The sequence below is a fragment of the Homo sapiens genome, chromosome 21, assembly GCF_000001405.40.
Source record: "Homo sapiens chromosome 21, GRCh38.p14 Primary Assembly".
NCBI classification, from domain to species: Eukaryota; Metazoa; Chordata; class Mammalia; order Primates; family Hominidae; genus Homo; species Homo sapiens.
Genome location: NC_000021.9, coordinates 41,679,301 through 41,699,831, shown reverse-complemented (window position 1 = coordinate 41,699,831; position 20,531 = coordinate 41,679,301). Strand labels below are relative to the sequence as shown.

General features: G+C 49.9%; 1 long non-coding RNA gene across 1 annotated transcript, besides 1 other annotated feature; it reads right to left on the bottom strand.

Annotated features, from left to right (window-relative positions):
* Positions 1-2,495: 2,495 nt before the first annotated feature.
* Positions 2,496-20,530, bottom strand: LINC00111 (long intergenic non-protein coding RNA 111). The gene is made up of 3 exons (NR_024367.1): positions 20,322-20,530; positions 11,364-11,509; positions 2,496-2,594 (listed from the first exon to the last, which is right to left on the bottom strand). It is a non-coding gene; the product is annotated as a long intergenic non-protein coding RNA 111 (long non-coding RNA).
* Positions 13,410-14,329: an enhancer, noted in NCBI's record as "H3K27ac-H3K4me1 hESC enhancer chr21:43105663-43106582 (GRCh37/hg19 assembly coordinates)". NCBI's record gives its function as "activates a minimal SCP1, AML or CMV promoter by ChIP-STARR-seq in naive H9 embryonic stem cells {active_cell/tissue: H9 hESC(naive)}" and the evidence as "EXISTENCE:reporter gene assay evidence [ECO:0000049][PMID:30033119]".

Below are 20,531 nucleotides of genomic sequence, written 5' to 3'. Positions count from 1 at the left end.
TCTCCAAGGCAGGCCATGCTCCCAGCACAAAGCCATGTTGGGTAATTCATCCATTCACCAGTGAGGGCAGGGGCGGAGATGGCTGGAAGGAGGTGGGTGGAGAAGCAGGTAAATGAGGTGGTTTTGTTGACAGATAAGTAGACCTGTGTCATGGAGCAAGTGTTCCACGATAGGAAATGCAAGACCAGCAATGTCCAGGAAGTTCCAGGACAGCCAGTGACCTGCCACGGCAGGCAGCAGCCCCTGGGCCTGGGTCAGAAAGGCACAGCTAGCTGGTTGGAGGAGTCCCCCTCGCCCCTTCCATCAGAGGCTGGAAAAGGAATATGAGATTGTCTGCAGAGACAAATGGAAAGCCCTTCAGACAGCGGCCTGGGACCGCGCGCGCCTTCTCCAGCCGGTTCAGCAAGAGGAATGGTCACTGGAACGGGAGGAGCTGGCAGAAGAGGAAGGAGCACTGACTAAGACTGACTTGAGTGCCCAGAGCATGGCTGCACCCTTGGAGCATTTGCACACTCAGAGCACAGGAGCCAATCATCATCCCAGACTCTTCCCTCAGCCATCTGAGGGGAAAATGGCAGGTAAAATGGGAATCATGATATTTTCTTAAAATGAGGAATTATAAACACACGTGAATCTGTGACCAGTGAGAGTTTTGGAGGAGAGAGGGGGGCTAGGGCTCCTCCCCCAGACCACACCGCCACGCCCACAAATGCGTTTCCAATTACACCATCTATGGAGGATACGGCAAGCCCTTGCAAACTGGTTACCTGGAAAGAAAGGAGAGAAATTGTGTGATGTGGTGAGGTGGGGACCTGTGTCCCCACCAAATCTCATGTTCAGTTGTTATCCCCAGTGCTGGGGGTGGGGCCCGGTTGGAGGTGGTTGGATCACTGGGGTGGATCCTTCATGAATGGCTTAGCACCATCACCTGGTGCTGTCTTGTGATAGAGTTCTCATGAGATCTGGTTGATTAAAAGTGTGTGGCGCCTCCCCCACCTCTCTCTCATGGTCTGGCCATGTGAGACGCGCCTGCTTCCCCTTTGTCTTCACCATGATTGTAAGTTTCTTGAGGCCTCCCCAGAAGCAGATGTCCCCATGCTTCCTGTACAGCCTGCTGAACCGTGAGCCAATTAAATCTCTTTTCTTTATAAATGACCCAGTTTCAGGTATTTCTTTATAGCTATGTGAGAACAGACTAATACACTTTTTTTTTTATGCTAGTATATTTTGAGAGTTTGCTATGGGTCTGGCACTGACTCAATCCTGTGGGTACCTTATTTCCATGAATCTCTATTAATTTTTGAAAACTGAGCTGGATGCTTCAATGGCTTCAGCTTAGAGAAGAGGAAGCAGAGGACAGAGAAGAAACTTGTTGTGATCATATAGGCAATAGAGGTAAAGCCAGGAGCTCAAATCCACCCAGAGGTCACAGATGAGGCGTATCAGGAAGGTCTGCGCTCAGCCCAGCAGCTGTTGCAGCCCTCGCAGAGATGCTGCCTCGGTCTCAGAACAGCAGGCCCGTCGTCTGATCGGAGGGTCCAGAGTGAGGACTGACCGTGGCTTCTTACACCCCGAATGACTGGCCTAGTCATGGCTGGTTCTGCAAGAGCTGGTCGACTAGAGGATCACTGGGCCCCCTAACACCACCTGAAGCCTCTGTAGCTCAGAGAGTGTGAGCTAATGGAGAAGTGACTAGATGGCTCAGGTGTGACTCAGGCAGGCCACTTGGACCACTGCGTGGACCTTCCCTCCCCAGGAACCTCAGGCCAGAGCCAGGCTTCTTGGAAGGGAGTGGCTGGGGGAAGAAGAGGAAAAGAAACAGGTGGGTGGGATTTCAGTGGGCGGGAACGAAGAGCCCACCCGGCCACATCAGTGCCCACCGCATCTGAGCTGTTTGGGACAGATGAGGACCGGCCTGCTGTTGGGAGTGCATCATAATCCCAATAGACACAATCCCGAGTGTCGAAATCCTGAAAAATCAGAATCCTAAAACCCTGATTCTGTAAAAAATAATTTTAAAATGTTAGAAAATATTTACATTTTTAAAAGGGAATTTATTTGAGAAACATAAAAACAAAACATAAACGTATGTTTTAAAATTAAACATAAAACATAAAAATTAAACATAAAAAGCACAATGGAACACTTCATAGGCCACTTTAATAAAACAGGCAGTAAGAACACACATGTTTTTGTAAGCATAGACAGGTGTGCTAATGAGAGTCACACAGGTATATCAACTATGAGCAGATGAACCGTATTCATAAGGAAATGGGTCAGAAAGGGAGATGTGGTAATGCAGATCGCTATGGTTGGTGATTGTGTGCACCTGGCGTATAACTGCGGTCACCTGAAGTGCCGTGACGGACAACCTAAGTCTACTGACAAGATCGCGCAGCAACCTCGATGGGTCCCCGCCACATACATATGCAGTCACCCAAAGAGCTGAGAGAGATCTGGAGAAATGTTGTCTTTCACAAATGCAGATGTACAAAAAAGATATCTTTTCATTTATTGAGGAAGTTTCAACGCTTTTACACTCACACACAGCTTGCAAAGCAGCATTGTGATAGTTCACTTTTATGAAGTCAGATCTGCAAAAAATGCATAAAGAATTAGAACTCTAAAAATCTCTACAAGCCTGGATGACATGGCGAAACCCTGTCTCTACAAAAAATACAAAAATTAGCCGGGCGTGGTGATGTGTGCCTGTAGTCTCGGCTCCTTGGGAGGCTCCATTGAGCCCGGGCAGTGGAGGCTACAGTGAGCAGTGGCCATGCCACTGCCCTCCAGCCTGAATGACAGAGAGAGACCCTGTCTCAAAAATAAATAAATAAATAAAAATAAAAAGTCCCTATACAATTTATACCTCCAGTATTGGAAATGATGCAAAGATGAAATACACAGCATGCAGAACTGTGAATGAAAATGCTGACAATTTAAAATAGTGAAAAAAAAACTTTAAAAAGAAAAGGAACACAAACAAAAAACTTGTCCTGTAATTGCCACTTTTGGGATGTTAGATGTTGGCGGTTTTAGCGATTTTGATCTTTTGGGATTTCGGTATTTGGGATTGTGGTCCAAACTTGCTGCTTTTCTACCCTGTGCAGTCCGGGGATGCTGGGAACAGTGAGGGAGAGGAAGGCGATGGTTTTACGGAAAGTGCAAGTCTTCTTTGAGGGACTTAACAGCTGCATGCTGAGATGGGGCTCTAGAGCTCTCCCTTGTCCTCGTGGTCCGCAATGGGTGGTTGACTGCCAAATCCCAGACTCATATCTTCAATACGTGACCAGTATGCCATCTCCTCTCCTTTCCCTGCCGTGGTCTAGGCCAGTCCCTCTACCTCATCTGGACTGGTGCGTTGACTTATCTGCTTAACTCTGATGGCCCCTTCCTGGTTCCATCCCATCCCTGGTTCAGCCGCTTCTAGCTCTGACCTTGGGCAAGTTACTTAAACCCCAGCGTAAGCCTTTGTTTCCTATGGGGTGATTATGAGGGTTGAGTGAGTGAATATCTGCAAAGGACTCAGAACACAGCCTGTACACAGTAAGTACTAAATAAATGTTGGTTGTTTTTTATGATTGCTGTTTTTTTTCCTACCACACTGGAGCCAGCAAGCTATTTAAAAACACATCTGATTATGTCACATTTCTGCTTTTGAGTCCGTAAAAGGGAATTATTTTCTGAATGACACTGGAAAAGAATCAGGTTAGATTTTCCCTAATTTATACCAAGGTAGTTTGCCTGTGAATTTAAGATAAATGTAAAACAATATATATTAGAGGACAATATTTAATGGATCTCAGTTCTGGGAAGAAATTGTCGGCATAAAATTAATGGAAGGAACCATCAATGAAGGTATGAATACATAAAATAAAAATCTCCTGGAGTAAAAATGATGCAAAGAGAAAAAATTTGAAAAAATATTAGCATAAATATGGCAAGCAAAGGGTTGAACTCCTAAATATATAGAAGAGCTCCTTTAAATTAATAAGAAAAACACTCCACTAGCAAATTGGTCAGAAAGCATGCACAGAAATTGCACAAAACAAAGGAAGCTCTCAGAACTCTGAGAACAATGAAGCTAATGTTGATTGCACACTCAGGTCACAGACACCAGCGGAGAGACCTGTGTGCATGACCTCATTTCATCTTCACGAGGGCTCCCCAGGTCACTAGGTCCTCATCAGCAGAGCCAGGGTCTGAACATCTCTTGGACTCTGAAGCCTGCACCCTTGACCACTACACTGTATAAATACACTTTTTAAAGTAAGCTCATTTTTCAAAGCTCAAAATAACTGACAGTCAAAGAAATGCAAATTAAAACAATGAAACAGTGGCATCTTCAGCTGTCAAAGTAACAAACACTTGAAATAATGACTTCCTGCAGGCAGGCCTACACTGTGGTGCTGGAGCACAGATTGTTCAACCTGTTTGGAAAGCAATTTTGAATTATGTATGAAGAGCCTTAAAAGTGTTCTTACTCTTTGCCCTGGAGATTCCATTTCTAGAAATCTATTCTAAGGAAACAGAGATATGATCAAAGATTGTGAAGGAGAAGGCTAATTAAGGCATTATTTATAATAGCAAATGTCAGAAAGAGCCTAAATGATCCCATACCAAGGGTTGATGAAATAAACTATGGTGCACTGATAGGGGAGATCATGCATCTATTAAATAGCACATTTTGAAGAACACTGAAAGTGGGGGAAAATCATAGAGGCAGGCAGGCCACGTGACACAGGAAAGCAGACCTTTAAACTAGATTTTGAGGGAAAAGGAATTTTCCAGGCAAAGGTGATGGTAAGAACGCTGCAGACAGAATTCAAGGTGAGCAAGAACTGGAGGTTTGCAAAGCTCTGGTGTTCTGGGGTGGGCTGGGGGAGTCTTGGGGGAGGGCAGCCTCTGAGCAGCAAGGATGGAGAGTTGATTAGGTAAGGTGTCAAATGGGCCCAAGAACCAATCGACTTTTAGACAATATAGAAATATTGAAGTTTTAAAGAATCCCCACTCCCATTATAAAAATAATACATTCGGAAAACAGACAATTTGGAAAACATCAAACATGATAAATGGGAAGACACAGATCTCTGCCATCTCACCACCTTGGTGAACATGCTTGTCACCATGCACTGACAACATTCTGTTCCGGGATATAGGTGAATGGCCAGGTATTTCATGAAAGTAGTCACTGTAGATTTTAATATATTATAACAACAATAACTCTTTATGAGTCTATCTCCCCTAAACTAGAGTAGGGACACCTCAAAACTAGAGTAGGGACTGTGGCATATCGGACTTCATACTCCAAGCATCCAGCATGATTCGGGGCTAAATTATTATTGCATGGATGAGTGGATGGATGGATGGATGGATGGATGCATGGATGAATGGATGGCTAGGTGGACGGACAAATGGATGGATGAGTGGATGGATGGATGGATGGATGGATGCATGGATGAATGGATGGCTAGGTGGACGGACAAATGGATGGATGGATGGATGGATGGATGGATGGATGGATGAATGGATGAATGGATGGATAGGTGGATGGACAAATGGATGTATGAGTGGATGGATAAATGGATGGGTAGGTGGATGGATGGATGAGTGGATGCATAAATGGATGGATGGGTGGATGGATGGATGGATGGATGAATGGATGGATGGATGCGTGGATGGATGGATGGATAGGTGGATGGATGGATGGATAGGTGGATGGATGGACGGATAAGTGGATGGATGGATGGATGGATGAATGGATGGATGGATGTGTGGATGGATGGATGGATAGGTGGATGGATGGATGGATGGATAGGTGGATGGATGGATGGATAGTTGGATGAGTGAATGGATGGATGGATGGGTGGATGGATGGATGGATAGGTGGATGGATGGATGGATATTTGGATGAATGAATGGATGGATGGATGGGTGGATGGATGGATGGATAGGTGGATGGATGGATGGGTGGATGGATGGATGGGTGGATGGATGGGTGGATGGATAAATGGATGAATGGATGAGTGGGTGAGCAGGATTTTCTTCTGTTACATCATCTTTACACAATCTGGTGACCCTCCCTGTATGAGTGAGGTGACTTGGTAGAAAGGATCTTGGAGCAGGACTGCTCTGTGACCCACCGATGGGCATCTTGGGTAAGGTGTTTCACCTCTTCAAGCCTCAGTTTCCTCACCCTTAAAATGGTGAGAGACTGAGTATACAAACAGATGTGGGGACCCACTCCACAGATGTCATCCAGAGATGACATAAAGATTGCTTTAAGCTGAAGACATTTGAGATTTAATAGATGCAGAAAAAAGCCTCCTCAGACCTTCCTTTATCTGATTAAAAACAGCAACTTCTGGGCAAGGAGGCAACCATAATTCTCCTCTCTGGGGGAGTTTTATGGCCCTGAAGAAGATGGAAAGACCACTCATACCTGTTTAGACGAACATTATCACAAACTTTATCGCCCTTCTCTTCTCCTAAAATCCCATTTGTTTTTCCTAAAGAAAATGATTTGTTTTTCTCATAAAAGCCACTTCTCCCCCATTTCCTTTTCCCTACTAAGTAGGTGTACAAGTCTTTAGCTATTTATCAGCCAGCAACTTCTTCTTTTTTTTTTTTTTTTTTGAGACAGAGTCTTGCTCTGTCACCCAGGCTGGAGTGCAATGGCGCAATCTCTGCTCACTGCAGCTTCCGCCTCCTGGGTTCAAGCGATTCTCCTGCCTCAGCCTCCTGAGTAGCTGGGATTACAGATGCACACTGCCACGACTGGCTAAGTTTTATATTTTTAGTGGAGACTGGGTTTCGCCATGTTGGCTAGGCTGGCCTCGAACTCCTGACCTCAGGTGATTCTTCTGCCTTGGCCTCTCAAAGTGCTGGGATTACAGGTGTGAGCCACCGCACCCGGCCCCGGCTACTTCTTTTGTTGGCTCCCGTAGGCACATAAAATAAACCCGTTTCTCCTGTTTATCCGTCTTTTGTCCATGTAATTTGCAGCCCTCAGTTACTGAACCTAAGACGGTAAAGTAGTTGTTTCCTTCCCTACAAAGACAATGGAGAGACTCACAGTCTTTGCAGCAATCAGGCCAGAATGGTCAGGAGTTGGTTGATGACTGCCAGCTTTTCTAATTTTTGTTCCTACTTCTAATTTAGAGCCAACCAGAGAAAGTCAAATATGCGCCCCTAGCCAATCCCCTAGGATGTCCACTTCCACGAGCCTTCCCAGCTCCCTTTTGAAGACGGCCTCATCGGGGCACCCCTGGAGCCTGTCGTCCACCACCAAGCTCCCCACTGCCTGCCCTGAGTCTCTGCCAAACGCAGCTGGTGGAAGCGGCCCCCTCGCTAGAGCCTGCTCAGAATACACAGCCTGCGCTTGGTCTCAGGTGGGTGGTCTTCATTTGTTTCCACAGTGGGGCCGACAGTTGTTTCATACATGTCAGGTGCTTGACAGGAACTGCTGTCCTGCTTCGGAGCAAGGGGACTTAGCGAGAGGCCCCTCCACCCTGTGCCAGAGTCTCACATGCCTGCCAAACTGGAGAAGGTTTGGCTTTGGCAGACGTAAATATCGTAGGTGGTTTTCCATCTGCAGCTGCTCAGCAGAGAAACAATTTGGAGAAGGAACAAGAAAATGCTGCATTTAGGAGTTGAAAGAAGCAGCAACTTGGCAACAAGGTACAGAGCAGCTTTCTTAAGCGTGGTGCTGGATTCGGAGCTGGGTTTATATCCCAGTGGTACCTGTCTCTGACTTTTGCTAGGTACTTACTTCCCTGTCCCTAAAGTGGGCCTGGCATTAGTGCCTACGTCATAGGACCCATGTGGAACTCAGAGGAGAACGCAGGCCGACTTGGTGAGGAGGTCTAAGTAAACACAAGCGTCATTTTTCACCATTCCTGCATCCTAGGGACAGTCCCTCATCCATCCTCTTCTTCAGGTAAGGTCATGGCTGCAGGCAAGGGCTGAGCCTGGGAAAGGCATTTCCAAAGCCGCCTCCAAAAGCAAAGTGGGTGCTGATGAGTGAGAATCAATAGCACTCATCCTCCCACTCCTGCAGGAAGGAAGGAAGCTGCCACCTCTCGCCTGGGGGCAGAGATAAGGGAGGACTTGGAAGAGAGTCCTCAGAAAGCTAGAGACACTGGAATGGAGGCTGGGCTCTGCCTGGGGGAGCTGGAAGGACCTGGGGTTGGAGGTCCCTGTGGATGAGAGGAACTCCTGCTGATTTCGCAGCCTGGAAGGCTGAAGTCTAGATACGCTTGTGCTTGTGGCTTTGAGGGTGCAGAACTCTGTATCTCACTCTCTGTGCAAGGAGGGGATGATCGCTGCTCTGCCTCCTTCTAAAGAGCTGGTGATTGTGGAGTGATGGAAAACCTGGTGTGAATGTTTCTGTTGAAGAGCTGGCAGGGTCCTTTGCTTTCCAGGATGTGGGCAAGGCCATCTGGAGAGTGAAGGCGGTGGAAGACTCCCTGATGCCAGGTTCTGAGGGCTTGCATAGGCTCTGCCTCCTTCTCCTTTCCCTTGATTGGAGCAAAACTCTTTTTGGAGATGCATCTGTTTAGCCCCAGCCAGGCACCCTCCACCTATTATCTGAATTTTAGTCATGCCAGGAAGCCACCAAGGCAAGTCCTGCTAGCACCACATCCCAGGTGAGGGGTGCAGGTGCCCTGTTCAGCAAGGAGGCTTCAAACCTGGATTGAGGGGATCCCAGGGCTTCCCTGTCAACCCACCCTTGCACACGGATCAAACTTTATCTCAACGAGGCCCCTGTGAAAACTCAGATGTTCAGAATATGACCACAGTATTCATTTCCTGGGGCTGCTGTAGAAAATTACCACCAACTCAATAGCTTCGAACAAAACAAACTGAAATGATGTTGGGAAAACTGGATATCTACATGTGGAAGAATGAAATTGGACCCTTATCTCATACATATACAAAAATCAACTCAAAACGAATGAAAGACTTATATGTAGGACCTGAAACTTTCAAACTGCTAGAAGAAAACATAGGGGGCAAAGCTCTATGACATTGGTCTAAGCAATGATGATTTTGGATATGACACCAAAAGCACAGGCAACAAAAGTAAAATCATAGACACATGGGATCACATCAAACCCAAAAGCTTCTGCACAGCAAAGGAAACAGGCAACAGAGTGGAGGGACACCCTATGGAATGGGAGGAGATATTTGCAAGCCACACACTTGATAAGGGGTTAATTGCCAAAATATATAAGGAATTCAAACAACTCAATATCAAGAAAACAACCCAATTAAGAAATAAGTAATGGACCTGAATAGATATTTCTCAAAAGAAGACATCCAAAAGGCCAATGAGTATATGAAAAAATGCTTAATATCCCCAACCATCTAGGAAATGTAAGTCAAAACCACAATGAGATATCACTTCACACCTAATTATCAAAAAGATGAAAGAAAACAAGTGCCGGTGAGGATGTGGACTATCCTCTATGCACACTATTGGTGGGAATGTGGATCAGTGCAGCCATGACTGTTGGTGGGAACGTGGATCAGTGCAGCCATGACTGTTGGTGGGAACGTGGATCAGTGCAGCCATGACTGTTGGTGGGAACGTGGATCAGTGCAGCCATGACTGTTGGTGGGAACGTGGATCAGTGCAGCCATGACTGTTGGTGGGAACGTGGATCAGTGCAGCCATGACTGTTGGTGGGAACGTGGATCAGTGCAGCCATGACTGTTGGTGGGAACGTGGATCAGTGCAGCCATGACTGTTGGTGGGAACGTGGATCAGTGCAGCCATGACTGTTGGTGGGAACGTGGATCAGTGCAGCCATGACTGTTGGTGGGAACGTGGATCAGTGCAGGCATGACTGTTGGTGGGAACGTGGATCAGTACAGCCATGACGGAAAGCAATATGAAGTCTCCTCAACAATTAGAGTAGAGCTACCATATGATTGCTCGCAATTTCACTTCCGGATATACACCCAAGGAAGTCAGTATGTTGAAGGGATGTCTGCTCTCTCATATCCATTGCAGCATTACTCACAATAGCCAAGAGATGGAATTGACCTAAGTGCTCATCGGTGAATGAATGGATAAGAAAATGTGACATACTTACAGAATGGAATATTAGTCTGCCTTAAAAAAGAAGGAAATCCTGCCATTTGCAACAACATGAATGAACCTAGAGGGCATTATGTTAAGTGAAATAAGCCAGGCATAGAAAGACAAATGATACAATCTCACTCATCTGTGGAATCTACAAAAGCAAATGCAGAGGGAGGACGAGAGACCCGGTGACCAGGGCCCGTGGGGGATGACCCGGTGACCAGGGCCCGTGGGGGATTACCCGGTGACGAGGGCCCGTGGGGGATGACCCGGTGACCAGGGCCCGTGGGGGATGACCCGGTGACGAGGGCCCATGCAGGGCGACCCAGTGATGAGGGCCCGTGGGGGGCGACCCGGTGACCAGGGCCCATGCGGGGTGACCCGGTGACCAGGGCCCGTGCGGGGTGACCCGGTGACGAGGGCCCGTGCAGGGTGACCCGGTGACCAGGGCCCATGCGGGGTGACCCGGTGACGAGGGCCCGTGGGGGATGACCCGGTGACGAGGGCCCGTGCAGGGTGACCCGGTGACGAGGGCCCGTGCAGGATGACCCGGTGATTAGAGCTTGTGAGGGAAGACCTGATGATTAGAGCTTGTGCAGGATGACCCGGTGATCAGGGCCCGTGTGGGCTGACCTGGTGATGAGGGCCTGTGTGGGATAGCCTGCCCTTGGAATGATCCGATCACTCTCCTGCATTTGAAATATCTAGGTGTTGCAACAGAAGCCACCCTGACAGTTAGGAGGCTGCCCTGTTATTATAATGCCAGAGAGAGTTCATTCTAAACAGTAAAAAGGAAAGAAAGAGAGAGAGAAGAGAAATTTAGAGTTCAGACCAAAGCTACCTGAAGCAGCACTCCTTGTGAATCAATGTTATACCTGTTCATCAGGAGGATGTCAAATTTAGGCATGGTAATATTTAGCAGTGACGACAGTGTGGCGGGGGGGAGTTGCACCCTAATTTAATTTAATGGAAGGGTATTTGAGTTTCAAGTTTTTTTTTTTTTTTTTTTGAGCCGGAGTCTTGCTCTGTCGCCCAGGCTGGAATGCAGTGGCGCAATCTCGGCTCACTGCAAGCTCTGTCTCCCGGGTTCACCCCATTCTCCCGCCTCAGCCTCCCAAGTAGCTGGGACTACGGAAGCCCACCACCACGCCCGGCTAATTTTTTGTATTTTTAGTAGAGATGCGGTTTCACCGTGTTAGCCAGGATGGTCTCAATCTCCTGACCTCGTGATCCACCTGCCTCAGCCTTATTTGAGTTATTTTTAAGGCTCTACCTCCTGATGTTGAGTCATGTGGGTCATGCCACGTGCCAGAACCATCTTCGGCTTTGCAGCAGAACTCCACTGTGTTCACCATCTTCCCTTCTCCCAGGCTCTTCTGGGACTGGTGTGGCCATACACTTCAGATCCTTCACCAGAACCTTTGAAAAGGGAGAGTGAGTGAGGCAGAGCCCGGGAAAGGCAGGACAATCCAGGGAGGGCCTGGCGGCCACCCGGGTACCACACTCTCTTTGTCCACCTGGAGTTCCCGATGGGCTGGACAACATTACAAGTCAGCTTTTCTTGGCTTGCCAACCCTCGCTTTAAATTTTGTCATCTTACAACATTTATGAACCAGGAGACTTCACCTAAACCTTGACGTCCTGCGGCATTGGACGTTCTTGCCCAGGAGTCTCCTTCCGCTGGAGTCGAACTCACTGTGCCCTCTGTGGGCTCCATCTCTCACAGCCCCAGGACCCCTCACTCATGGACCCCATGTCCTGGGCCCTGACTGCACTGGCATTTGTAAGACCAGATAAAAACCTCTTGTCCTCAATTCTGAAGTCTAAAATACACAGAAAAGCCTGTTCTGTAATTCATTTGATGGCAAAATCTGATCTGATATGTGACTCATGCAGTAGCAGTTTCTGACCTGAACTGACTATAAAAATGCATTTAATGATCCTGCTCAGGGTGTGGAGACTGTGCTGTGTCACAGAAATATGAAGAGTGTTGCCCTTAAATATTAATAGATCCCACCATCGGGTTTGGGGATTGTTCGGTACATGCACCATTTTACTTTCCTGAAATTCAAAAATTTTGAACTTCTCTGACCCTAAGTGCTGAGAGGGCTTGTGCAGTGCTGTGGGTGGGGCTCACAGTGAGTCAAACCAACCAAGGTGCCCTGGTCACCTGATCGTCACACACCAGCCCCATTGATTCTCACGGCAGCCCCTGGTGAGGAGCTTCTGTGGTCCCCATTTTGCAGATGAGGAAACTGACATATAAAGCGCTAGGAAAGTTGCCCAAGGACATGAGGCACAGGCAGGATTTGAACCCAGGTGTTCCGGTTCCAGGGGCCAGGTTTTTAAGCAATGTGGCATGATGGCTTTTGACGCCTGATCTCAAACAGAAAAGATACCTCCTGAATTCATGCTAAGGATGCAGCTCCCTAACTCCACGTATTGAATAAGGTTTCCCCGGAGCTTCTTTCAGGATAGGAAAGGCGCTGGGCTTTCGTGGTCCAGCCATCTGATTCCCGAAGAAGCAACAAGGCCCTGGCTAAATCACAGTGAGATGAATCCCTGGGGACTTGAGACTCGCGTAAACATCAGAAGAGGGTCCCCCCACTTTGGCAGAGGAGAACACCCTGAGAGAGGCAGAATGGAATAAGAGAAGCTTGAGGACATTGGATTCAGCCAGAGTTGGGTAGGAAGCCCATATGAATAGCTCAAGCCTTGTGACAATTGTCAATTCATTGTCCACTTGTAAAATGTGTAATGTCCTTCATAGGTGTCTTAGTCCACTTACGCTGCTAGAACAAAATCCCATAGGCTGGAAGGGCTTATAAACAACAGACATTTGTTTCTCACATTTCTGGAGGCTGAAAGTCCAAGGTCAAGGCACCAGCAGATTCGGCGTCTGGTGAGGGCTTTCTGGTTCAAAGAGCGCACTTTCTCGCTGTGTCCTCACTCGGGGGGAGGGGAGAAATCTGATCTTTTCATCTCATTATAGGGGCGCTTGTCCCATTCATGAGGGCTCCACCCTCAAGAGCCGACCACCTCCCAAAGGCCCTGCCTCCTAATATCAGCAGATCGGAGGTTAGGCTTCAATATATCGCTTTGAGGGGGGCACAACCATTTCAACCCTAGCAAGAGGTTTTAAGTTCCTTGAAACTTAGAGTGCTGTTTTCCTTCCTTCCTCCCTTTTTCCATTCACCATTTATCAGACAGTGTGTTAGACACTAGGCAATTAGAGCAAAAAGCCCTGCTCCCTGCCCTTGAGGAGTTCCCAGCCCCTCCTGCACTACCCGAGGGCTTGCCTGTAGCAAGCATTCAGTAAGCTACAAAATGCAAAGTATAACAAACGGATCTACCCCTTTGGAGTAGAAAAAACCCAATGTTATCCCAAGAATGGCCACGTGGCTTGGTCCTTGAGATGACATGATGTGCAAACACCAGGACCCAGGGATTCGTGATCCATTTGGCTATTGATAGCAGCAAAGACATTTTTCCTTCCCTTTTGGGAAACAGTCATGGTTGCTGTTCAAGCTAAGAGTGAGGGCCTTGAAAGCAGCTCTGCACTGGGAAAGCAGTTTCAAGTCCATACCCCACTGCCCACCTGCCCCACACTGCTGATTCCAGACCAGGGAGCGGAGCCAGGCAGTTACCCCAGGCCCCGTGCTCTGCACCCTGAGGGTGACTTTCTGAGGGTGTCAGCTGGTGACCATGACCATAGGCATGGACACCTCACTGTGGAGGTCACCTGTCTTGAGCAGGGAGAGGCTCGTACCCTGTTGACAGGAGGATAGTGGGGTAGGAGGCCAGGGGCACCAGTTCAGGCCCCCCACCTCTGAGTCCCTGAATCTTCCTGGCCTGTGAGCTGCCCTTGAGTTTCCCTTTGTCTCCATCGCTGCCTCCCCTCCCTCTCCCAGCAGCAGCACCGCCAGGACTGTTCCACCGAAGCCAGGTGTGGGTGGGGGTGTTCCCAGATGCAGGAGACAGGAAGACCCAGGAGCAGCCTGTGGTTGGCAAGGTGGGGTCCAGGAGTGGTGTCAGGGGATGTCCTGGCTGCTCAGCACAGCAGGAGGCAGGCCCAGCTAGGAGGCAGGAGGAGGCTGGGGAGGGGTCCCTGCAAGGGTGGCAGGGAGTTGTCATTTGGGAGGTGGGCTAGATATGGGGGAACACCACGGGCCTGGGGCTCAGGAGCAGCTTCCAATTCCTAGAGAGGTCTGGAGTGTGCAACGAGTATTGGAGAAACAGAAGTTCCAGGTCTGGAAAAACAGGGGTTCCCAGCAGGGTGACAGGCGCTGGGGACAAGGTGGGGTCAGATGCTGGATCGTGTACAAGACAAGGGCTCCCTAAGAAGAAAGCAGGTCAGAACTGAAGGCAGAGCTGGGTGTGGGCCCCCTTAACCAGCTCCTCCAGCCAGACTCAGGCTCAAGTCCCTGTGGTTGGCTGAATAATGGCCTCCAAAGAGAGCCTCATCCTAACCCCAGGACCGGTGAATGTGACCTTACCTGGTGAAAAGGACTTTGCAGATGTAAGGAAGGATGTTGCAAGGGGGAGAAGGGGGAGATGACCGTCTATGATCTGGCGGTCCCTAAATGCCATCACAAGGGTCCTTACAAGAGGGAGATGGAGGGAGGTTTGAATACAAACGAGGAGGAGGCCGTGCGACCACGAGGCAGAGATGGGAGCGATGCAGCCACAGGCCCAGGGACCCCCGCAGCTGCCGCAAGCTGGGAGAGGCAGGTAGGATCCTCCCAGAGCCTCCGAGGGTGCTGCCTACAACTCGGTTTTCACGTTTCACACCTAAGACTCATTTCAGAATTCTGGGCTCTAGGACTATAAGATAATACATTTCTGTGGTTTTAAGCCACTAAATCCATAGCCATGGATTCAGCAGCTGCAGCCGCTCCTGCAGTCCCAGGGGCAGGAAGTCAGGTCCGTTCTCCCTGCCCCGGGGCCATCTCGGGAACAGAAGATATTTGGGAAAACATTTTGTGGAGGTGGGGCTGGGAGAGGCTCTGTTTTCATTTTGTACCTTCCTGTACTGTTTGGATTTTCTTCCAGTACAGGTCTTTGTTTTTCGCAATGTCTCCAGGAGTTATCCACGGGGAGAGATTTTGTGTTTCCTTGTTTGTACTCGTCTGTGTTAAAAGAAAACTCTCACACCCACTGCCTGGTCGAGGTCGTGTTTGCTGGGTCCTCTGGTTACTCACAGTGGAGGAATTTCGTATCTCCAGCTCCCGCCCCACCCACCTCTCCTGGCTCCTCTCCCTCCTCCCGTTTCTCTCCCTCCTCCCTCCCCTCATATCAACCCCCTCTCCTGCAGAACAAAAAATAACCTAGTCTCTCCCTGCCCGTAGCACCCCAGCCCGTCTTGTTACGGACACCCCTGTCCTCAGGGGGCCTTTTCAAGGTACATTTTCCTACTGGAAGGTGGTGCCTTTTCCACGCAGCACATCCTGCCTCCCTCGGATGATGTATTTCCCCTTGTTACAAACTAATGATAGCTACCATTCATTGCACACTTGTTTAACACCTTTTATAAAGTCAGGGCTTGACCAACATGGTTTCCATCTGCGCAGCCATTTCAACAACCGGCTGCTGTCACCCCAGCTCCAAAACAGCAGCGAGGTGATGAAATAGCTTTGTCAAGGTGAGAAAACTACAGCTGTGGGAAATTTGGAGACTGGCCCAAGTCAATATGGCCAGTGATGACTGACTAGTGTCACTGGCCTGTCTGACTTCAAGGTCGGCAGGCCCAAGTGGGCGCTGCTTTTGCAGACATCTGCAGCTGGCCGCTACCGGAGGCTGTGGGCCCCTTCTTCAGCCTCGGGGAGGAAGCTTCTTCCCCATGGGAGCAGCACCTGTGCTGGGGCGGCCCTCATGCTGATTCTCACAAGGCCGAAGTGTGCACAGGAGTCCTATGTGGGCTCATGTCTTAGAAATCGGATGCTGGGAATGACGTCTCCTATGCAGCCTCCAGCTCTACTCTGCGGCAGGTGAAGATCATTTTTCTGAACTGCCCTCAGAGCTACAGCTAGAGAGTCATTGATTTCTTCTATCATTATTTTCTTTATTTTCAGTGGGTTTCTGAGTAGAGGTGCTCACACATGCACTTGTGTTTATGAACACACACACACGTAAAGACCAGTAGGTTACCTTTAATCTTATTTTTTTCAGCTTAACATAGCCTTTATTGTGTGAAAACCTGAAGCAAAAATGATGTAAGAAACCAAACAAATCTGTGTCTTTATTGTTTGGGTCTGTGACGTGTGTGCGTGTGTGTGTGCACGTGTGTACCTATGTGTGTGTCTGTGTATGCATGAATGAGTGTGTGTGTGGTTGTGTGTATGTTAGATACATGCCTTTTGACTGATCTCAGCTCCCAAATCCATTTCTGGAGCCTTAAGAAAATGGATGAAATTAACACGGTCAGCACCCTGTGGGGGCCACAGGGCATTGTCTGATACCTCGGTGAGCAGGTGGGTGAGGACAGCCTCTGTCTAAACTGCTTGTCTGCAGTGGGTGGACCTGGTTTTTTATTTAAAACACTCGCAAGTGTTGGATGCCTTCTGAAGATAGCACAGGGGACGAGATGGTGACAGTGAGGGGACTCCCCACCCCACCCCTGGCCACCGAGAAGAAAAGTGGAGAATACCATTGCTTTCAGAAAGTCAAGCTACAAAACCTACACATGTCTGGGCAGAGGTCAGGCCCTGTACATGGGCTGGCTGGCTCTGCCTCTGGGGAAGCCTGGATGTGCCAGGCCTGGGCGTGTGTGCTGGGGGGGAATCCTGTTCAGGGAAGAGCGGTCCAGCTGAGGAGAGCAGGTCTGGAGGCCTCCAGTGAGACGGTGGGAGGCGGAACATCTCAGAGCAGAAGCAGAAAGTGATGGCGCGGGAACGGTGAGCCTTGACAGCTGCCGCCTCTCCATCCCAGCGCCCCTGCCTCTCCGCCCCGGCGCCCCTGCCTCTCCGTCCCAGTGCGGCCTCCCTGCTTCCTTCTGATAATCCGCCTGTCTGCAGGCCAAGATGCTGTGCGGGTCACTCTCTGGGCTGCCTGACATTCATTCTTCTCACCCAGGAGAAGCAGATTTTCTGGTTTGTGCCTCAGCCTCATGGGTGTGCCCGTGCCAGGCAGGGTGAGAGACCTACAAAACCTCTCAGCCTTCTGAGTCAGAGGTTGTACCCATTTTGCAGATAAGGAATCAGAGGCACCACGAGGTGAAAGGACTTGCCTCAGCTGCTCGGCGAGGCTGGAGCTTGGGCCAAGGTAGTTGGGGCCCAGAGCCCGTGCCCTGGAGCGCTGCGTCGGTGAGGTGCTCAAATTGCATGAGGCTGGAGTTTCTGGGCCTGCCAGAGCGGGGAATAGAAGGCTCACCGTGGAGGCACTGACCCTGCTCCGAGGGGCTCGGAGTCTGGTGAGGGCCAGACACAAAGCAGGTCATTTCTACATTGTGATCGGGGTACTGAGAAAACTGAGGTGGCCGGAGATTGTGTCTACTTCTGTAGACAGCCACGGACACAGCACATGGCGGGAGACCAGAGAGAAGCCACTGACCGGCAGAGGCTGTCCCAGAGGCTGGCGCTGGGGGCCCTGCAGGGGTCCAGGTGCCCCAGAGTCTGGTGCTGGGGGCTCCCCAGGGGTCCAGGTGCAGAAGGGCTTTCCCGGATGAGGGAACAGCAGGTGTCAAGGCTGGCAGCAGTGACTGTGCTGATGATGTCTGGGGGCCCCAGCTGTGGGAGGTGGCGGGAACAGGGGTGTGGGATGAGGTGAGGGACCCCGACTAATTCACGAGCAGCCCTCGAGGTGTCTTGTGGGCACTGAACCATGTGAAGGTGGCTCTGGGGTCTGATTCATGTTCTGAGAGTTCTTCAGCTGCCCTGGTGGGGGTTGTGTGAGAGAGAGCCAGCGAAGGAGGTACAGGAAAGTTCTTGTCCCCCGCCTCGTGTTAGTGCAAACGGAGGTAAACTGAGGAGCACGGGAAAGGCTGTGCTTCTGCAGGGGAGTCACGAGTGAGCAGAGTGCGTGCAGGCGGCTCACCCAGGCCTGCCATGGGTCCTTAGCCCTGCCTCCCAGGAACCCCGGAGGGCCACCCTGCTCAGGCTGTTCCTGGCATAAGCGCGTGACAGCGGGGAAGGTACAGATGTGGGATTCTGGACCCTTCTGCCAACAGAAGAACCGGGCGCCGTGGAGCCTCCTCCCAGCTGCCCTGGGCACGCTGGAAATACCTCCGCAGGCTGTTTTCTTTCCCTTCCTGTCAGTGCCCAACGCGTGTTGTTCTGTGCCCAGAGGAACTGGCTCTTCGGGTTCTGTGAGTCCAGGGGATTGGAGCCATTGGAGCCCCGGGGCCTGGGAGTCTAAATTTGACCTTGCGATTTGCTTATTTTGGGGGGTCAGGGCCGGTTGCCCACAGCGGGGTCTTAGCATGGAGCCAGGGTTCCACGTCCCCCTCGTTCCAGCTCAGGGCGAGGAGGCGGAAGGGAAAGGAGGGAAACAGAGCGGTGAGGAGTTTCACTTTTGTTCTCTCTTTTCTGTGTGCTTCCTTATGTTTTAAATAACATTTATGCGTCATTTACCAGGCGGCGTGTGCATTATAATTCCCTCAATTTTACTGATGAGGAAATCGAGGCAGGAGGAAGTTGAGTACTACAGAGCTGTCCTGTGGAGCCGGGCCGTCTGGCACTGGAGACAGGCTTCTATCCACTCTGCCTGCGGTTCGCAAAGTGGGGTCCCCAGCCAGCGGCACCAGCATCACCTGGAACTTGTGACAAATGCACATTCCAGGGCCCTTCTCCAGACCCACGGAATCTAGGGCAAGGCTCAGCCATCTGTGCCTTAGGGAGCTCTCCTGGAGATTCTCACACTGGTCCAGGGGGTTCTTCAGTTAACTGACACCTTTGTTGAGCACCTACTTACCACATAAGCCATTGACGAGATTGTGCTGGAAACATGCAACTATGCTAAAAACAAAGACTGTCACCTGCCCTTTCAGAGCTACGCAGAGCAGCCTGAGACTCACAGCGAAACAGCTTTTGTCTCTGGGCAGTTGCAGAGCAGGTTTGTTTGTTTGTTTGTTTTGTTTTAGGCTTTTTGCCAAATACCAGAGGCCAGAACTATGGAGAGGCTGCTGAATCCAGGGCCAGGAGGGCTCCAAGGAGTTTGCAAACCTAGATCTCCGGGAGGCCCTGGTTAAAGGAGGCTAAATCCGTTGGGACAGACATGGGTGTTTCAGGTTGGGATCTCATGGCTGAGTGTGCAAGCTGCCAACACTTCCGTGTATGCTTTATTCCCGTGGTTTTTGTTTGTTTTGTTTTTTTTTTTCCAGATTTAAAGACTAATAGGAGATGAGCAATGGCAGCTTTGGGGACCTTTTGTCTTTGCTTTGGCATTTTGGCCATTGGCTGATTTTAAAAACAAAATAGAACTATCTGGTGGCCCCAAGCCCCAATGCATAAGCTCAAGGTGGAGTCCCCAGGGCTGTTTTTCCCGATGGAGAGTTTGGTGCCCATTCTGTGATCACAGGGGAAGCTGCTGGGCCGTTTTCACCTCCTCCTCCCACATACACAGGCATGCTTGCGGTAGACTCACAAGAAGTTACAGAACATCAGCTGCCCGCAAAAAGCATCTTTTGTGAAAGACAGGGAGCAAGGATATATTAAAAACAAGCAAGCAGCTGAGGTGGGTGGATCATGAGGTCAGGAGATCGAGACCATCCTGGCTAACACAGTGAAACCCCATCTCTACTAAAAATACAAAAAATTAGCTGGGCATAGTTGCACGTACCTGTAGTCCCAGCTACTTGGGAGGCTGAGGCAGGAGAATCGCTTGAACCCAGGAGGCAGAGGTTGCAGTAAGCCAAGATCACACCACTGCACTCCAGCCTGGGTGACAGAGTGAGACTCCATCTCAAAAAAACAAAAAAACAAGCAGGTGCAGGTGCTCATGCCTGTAGTCCCAGCTACTTGGGAGGCTGAGGTGGAGGGATCGCTTGAATCCAGGAGTTAGACCAGCCTGGGCAACATAGCAAGACCCTGTCTTAAAAAAAAAAAAAACCCGAAATTGAAAAACACAAAACAAGCAAATAGACCTGAAACACTCCAGCTACCCCTTCTGTAAGGAAAGCCAACAAGAGTTAGTCCCAACCTCATCCCACTCCCCAGACCCCTTCCCAAACCCCTTCCCAGACCCCACTGCCCACTTTCCGTGGGGGGGAAAGGGGAATCATTAGGGCATTCCTTACATCCCGGCTGTCTGGCAAACTTAAATGGGTTACACCTGGAGCCACTGGCCCCACTTAGTAACCCGAGGATACTCGTGGATGCAGGCTGCTTTCCTGACCCCGAATTCGGTGCCCACGAAACAGCCTCTCAATCTGAGGACAGGATTTTCACATTGTCCCTGTGCATCTGAGAAGAGCCCGCTTCCCCTTCAGGAGACGGAGTGTATGGAC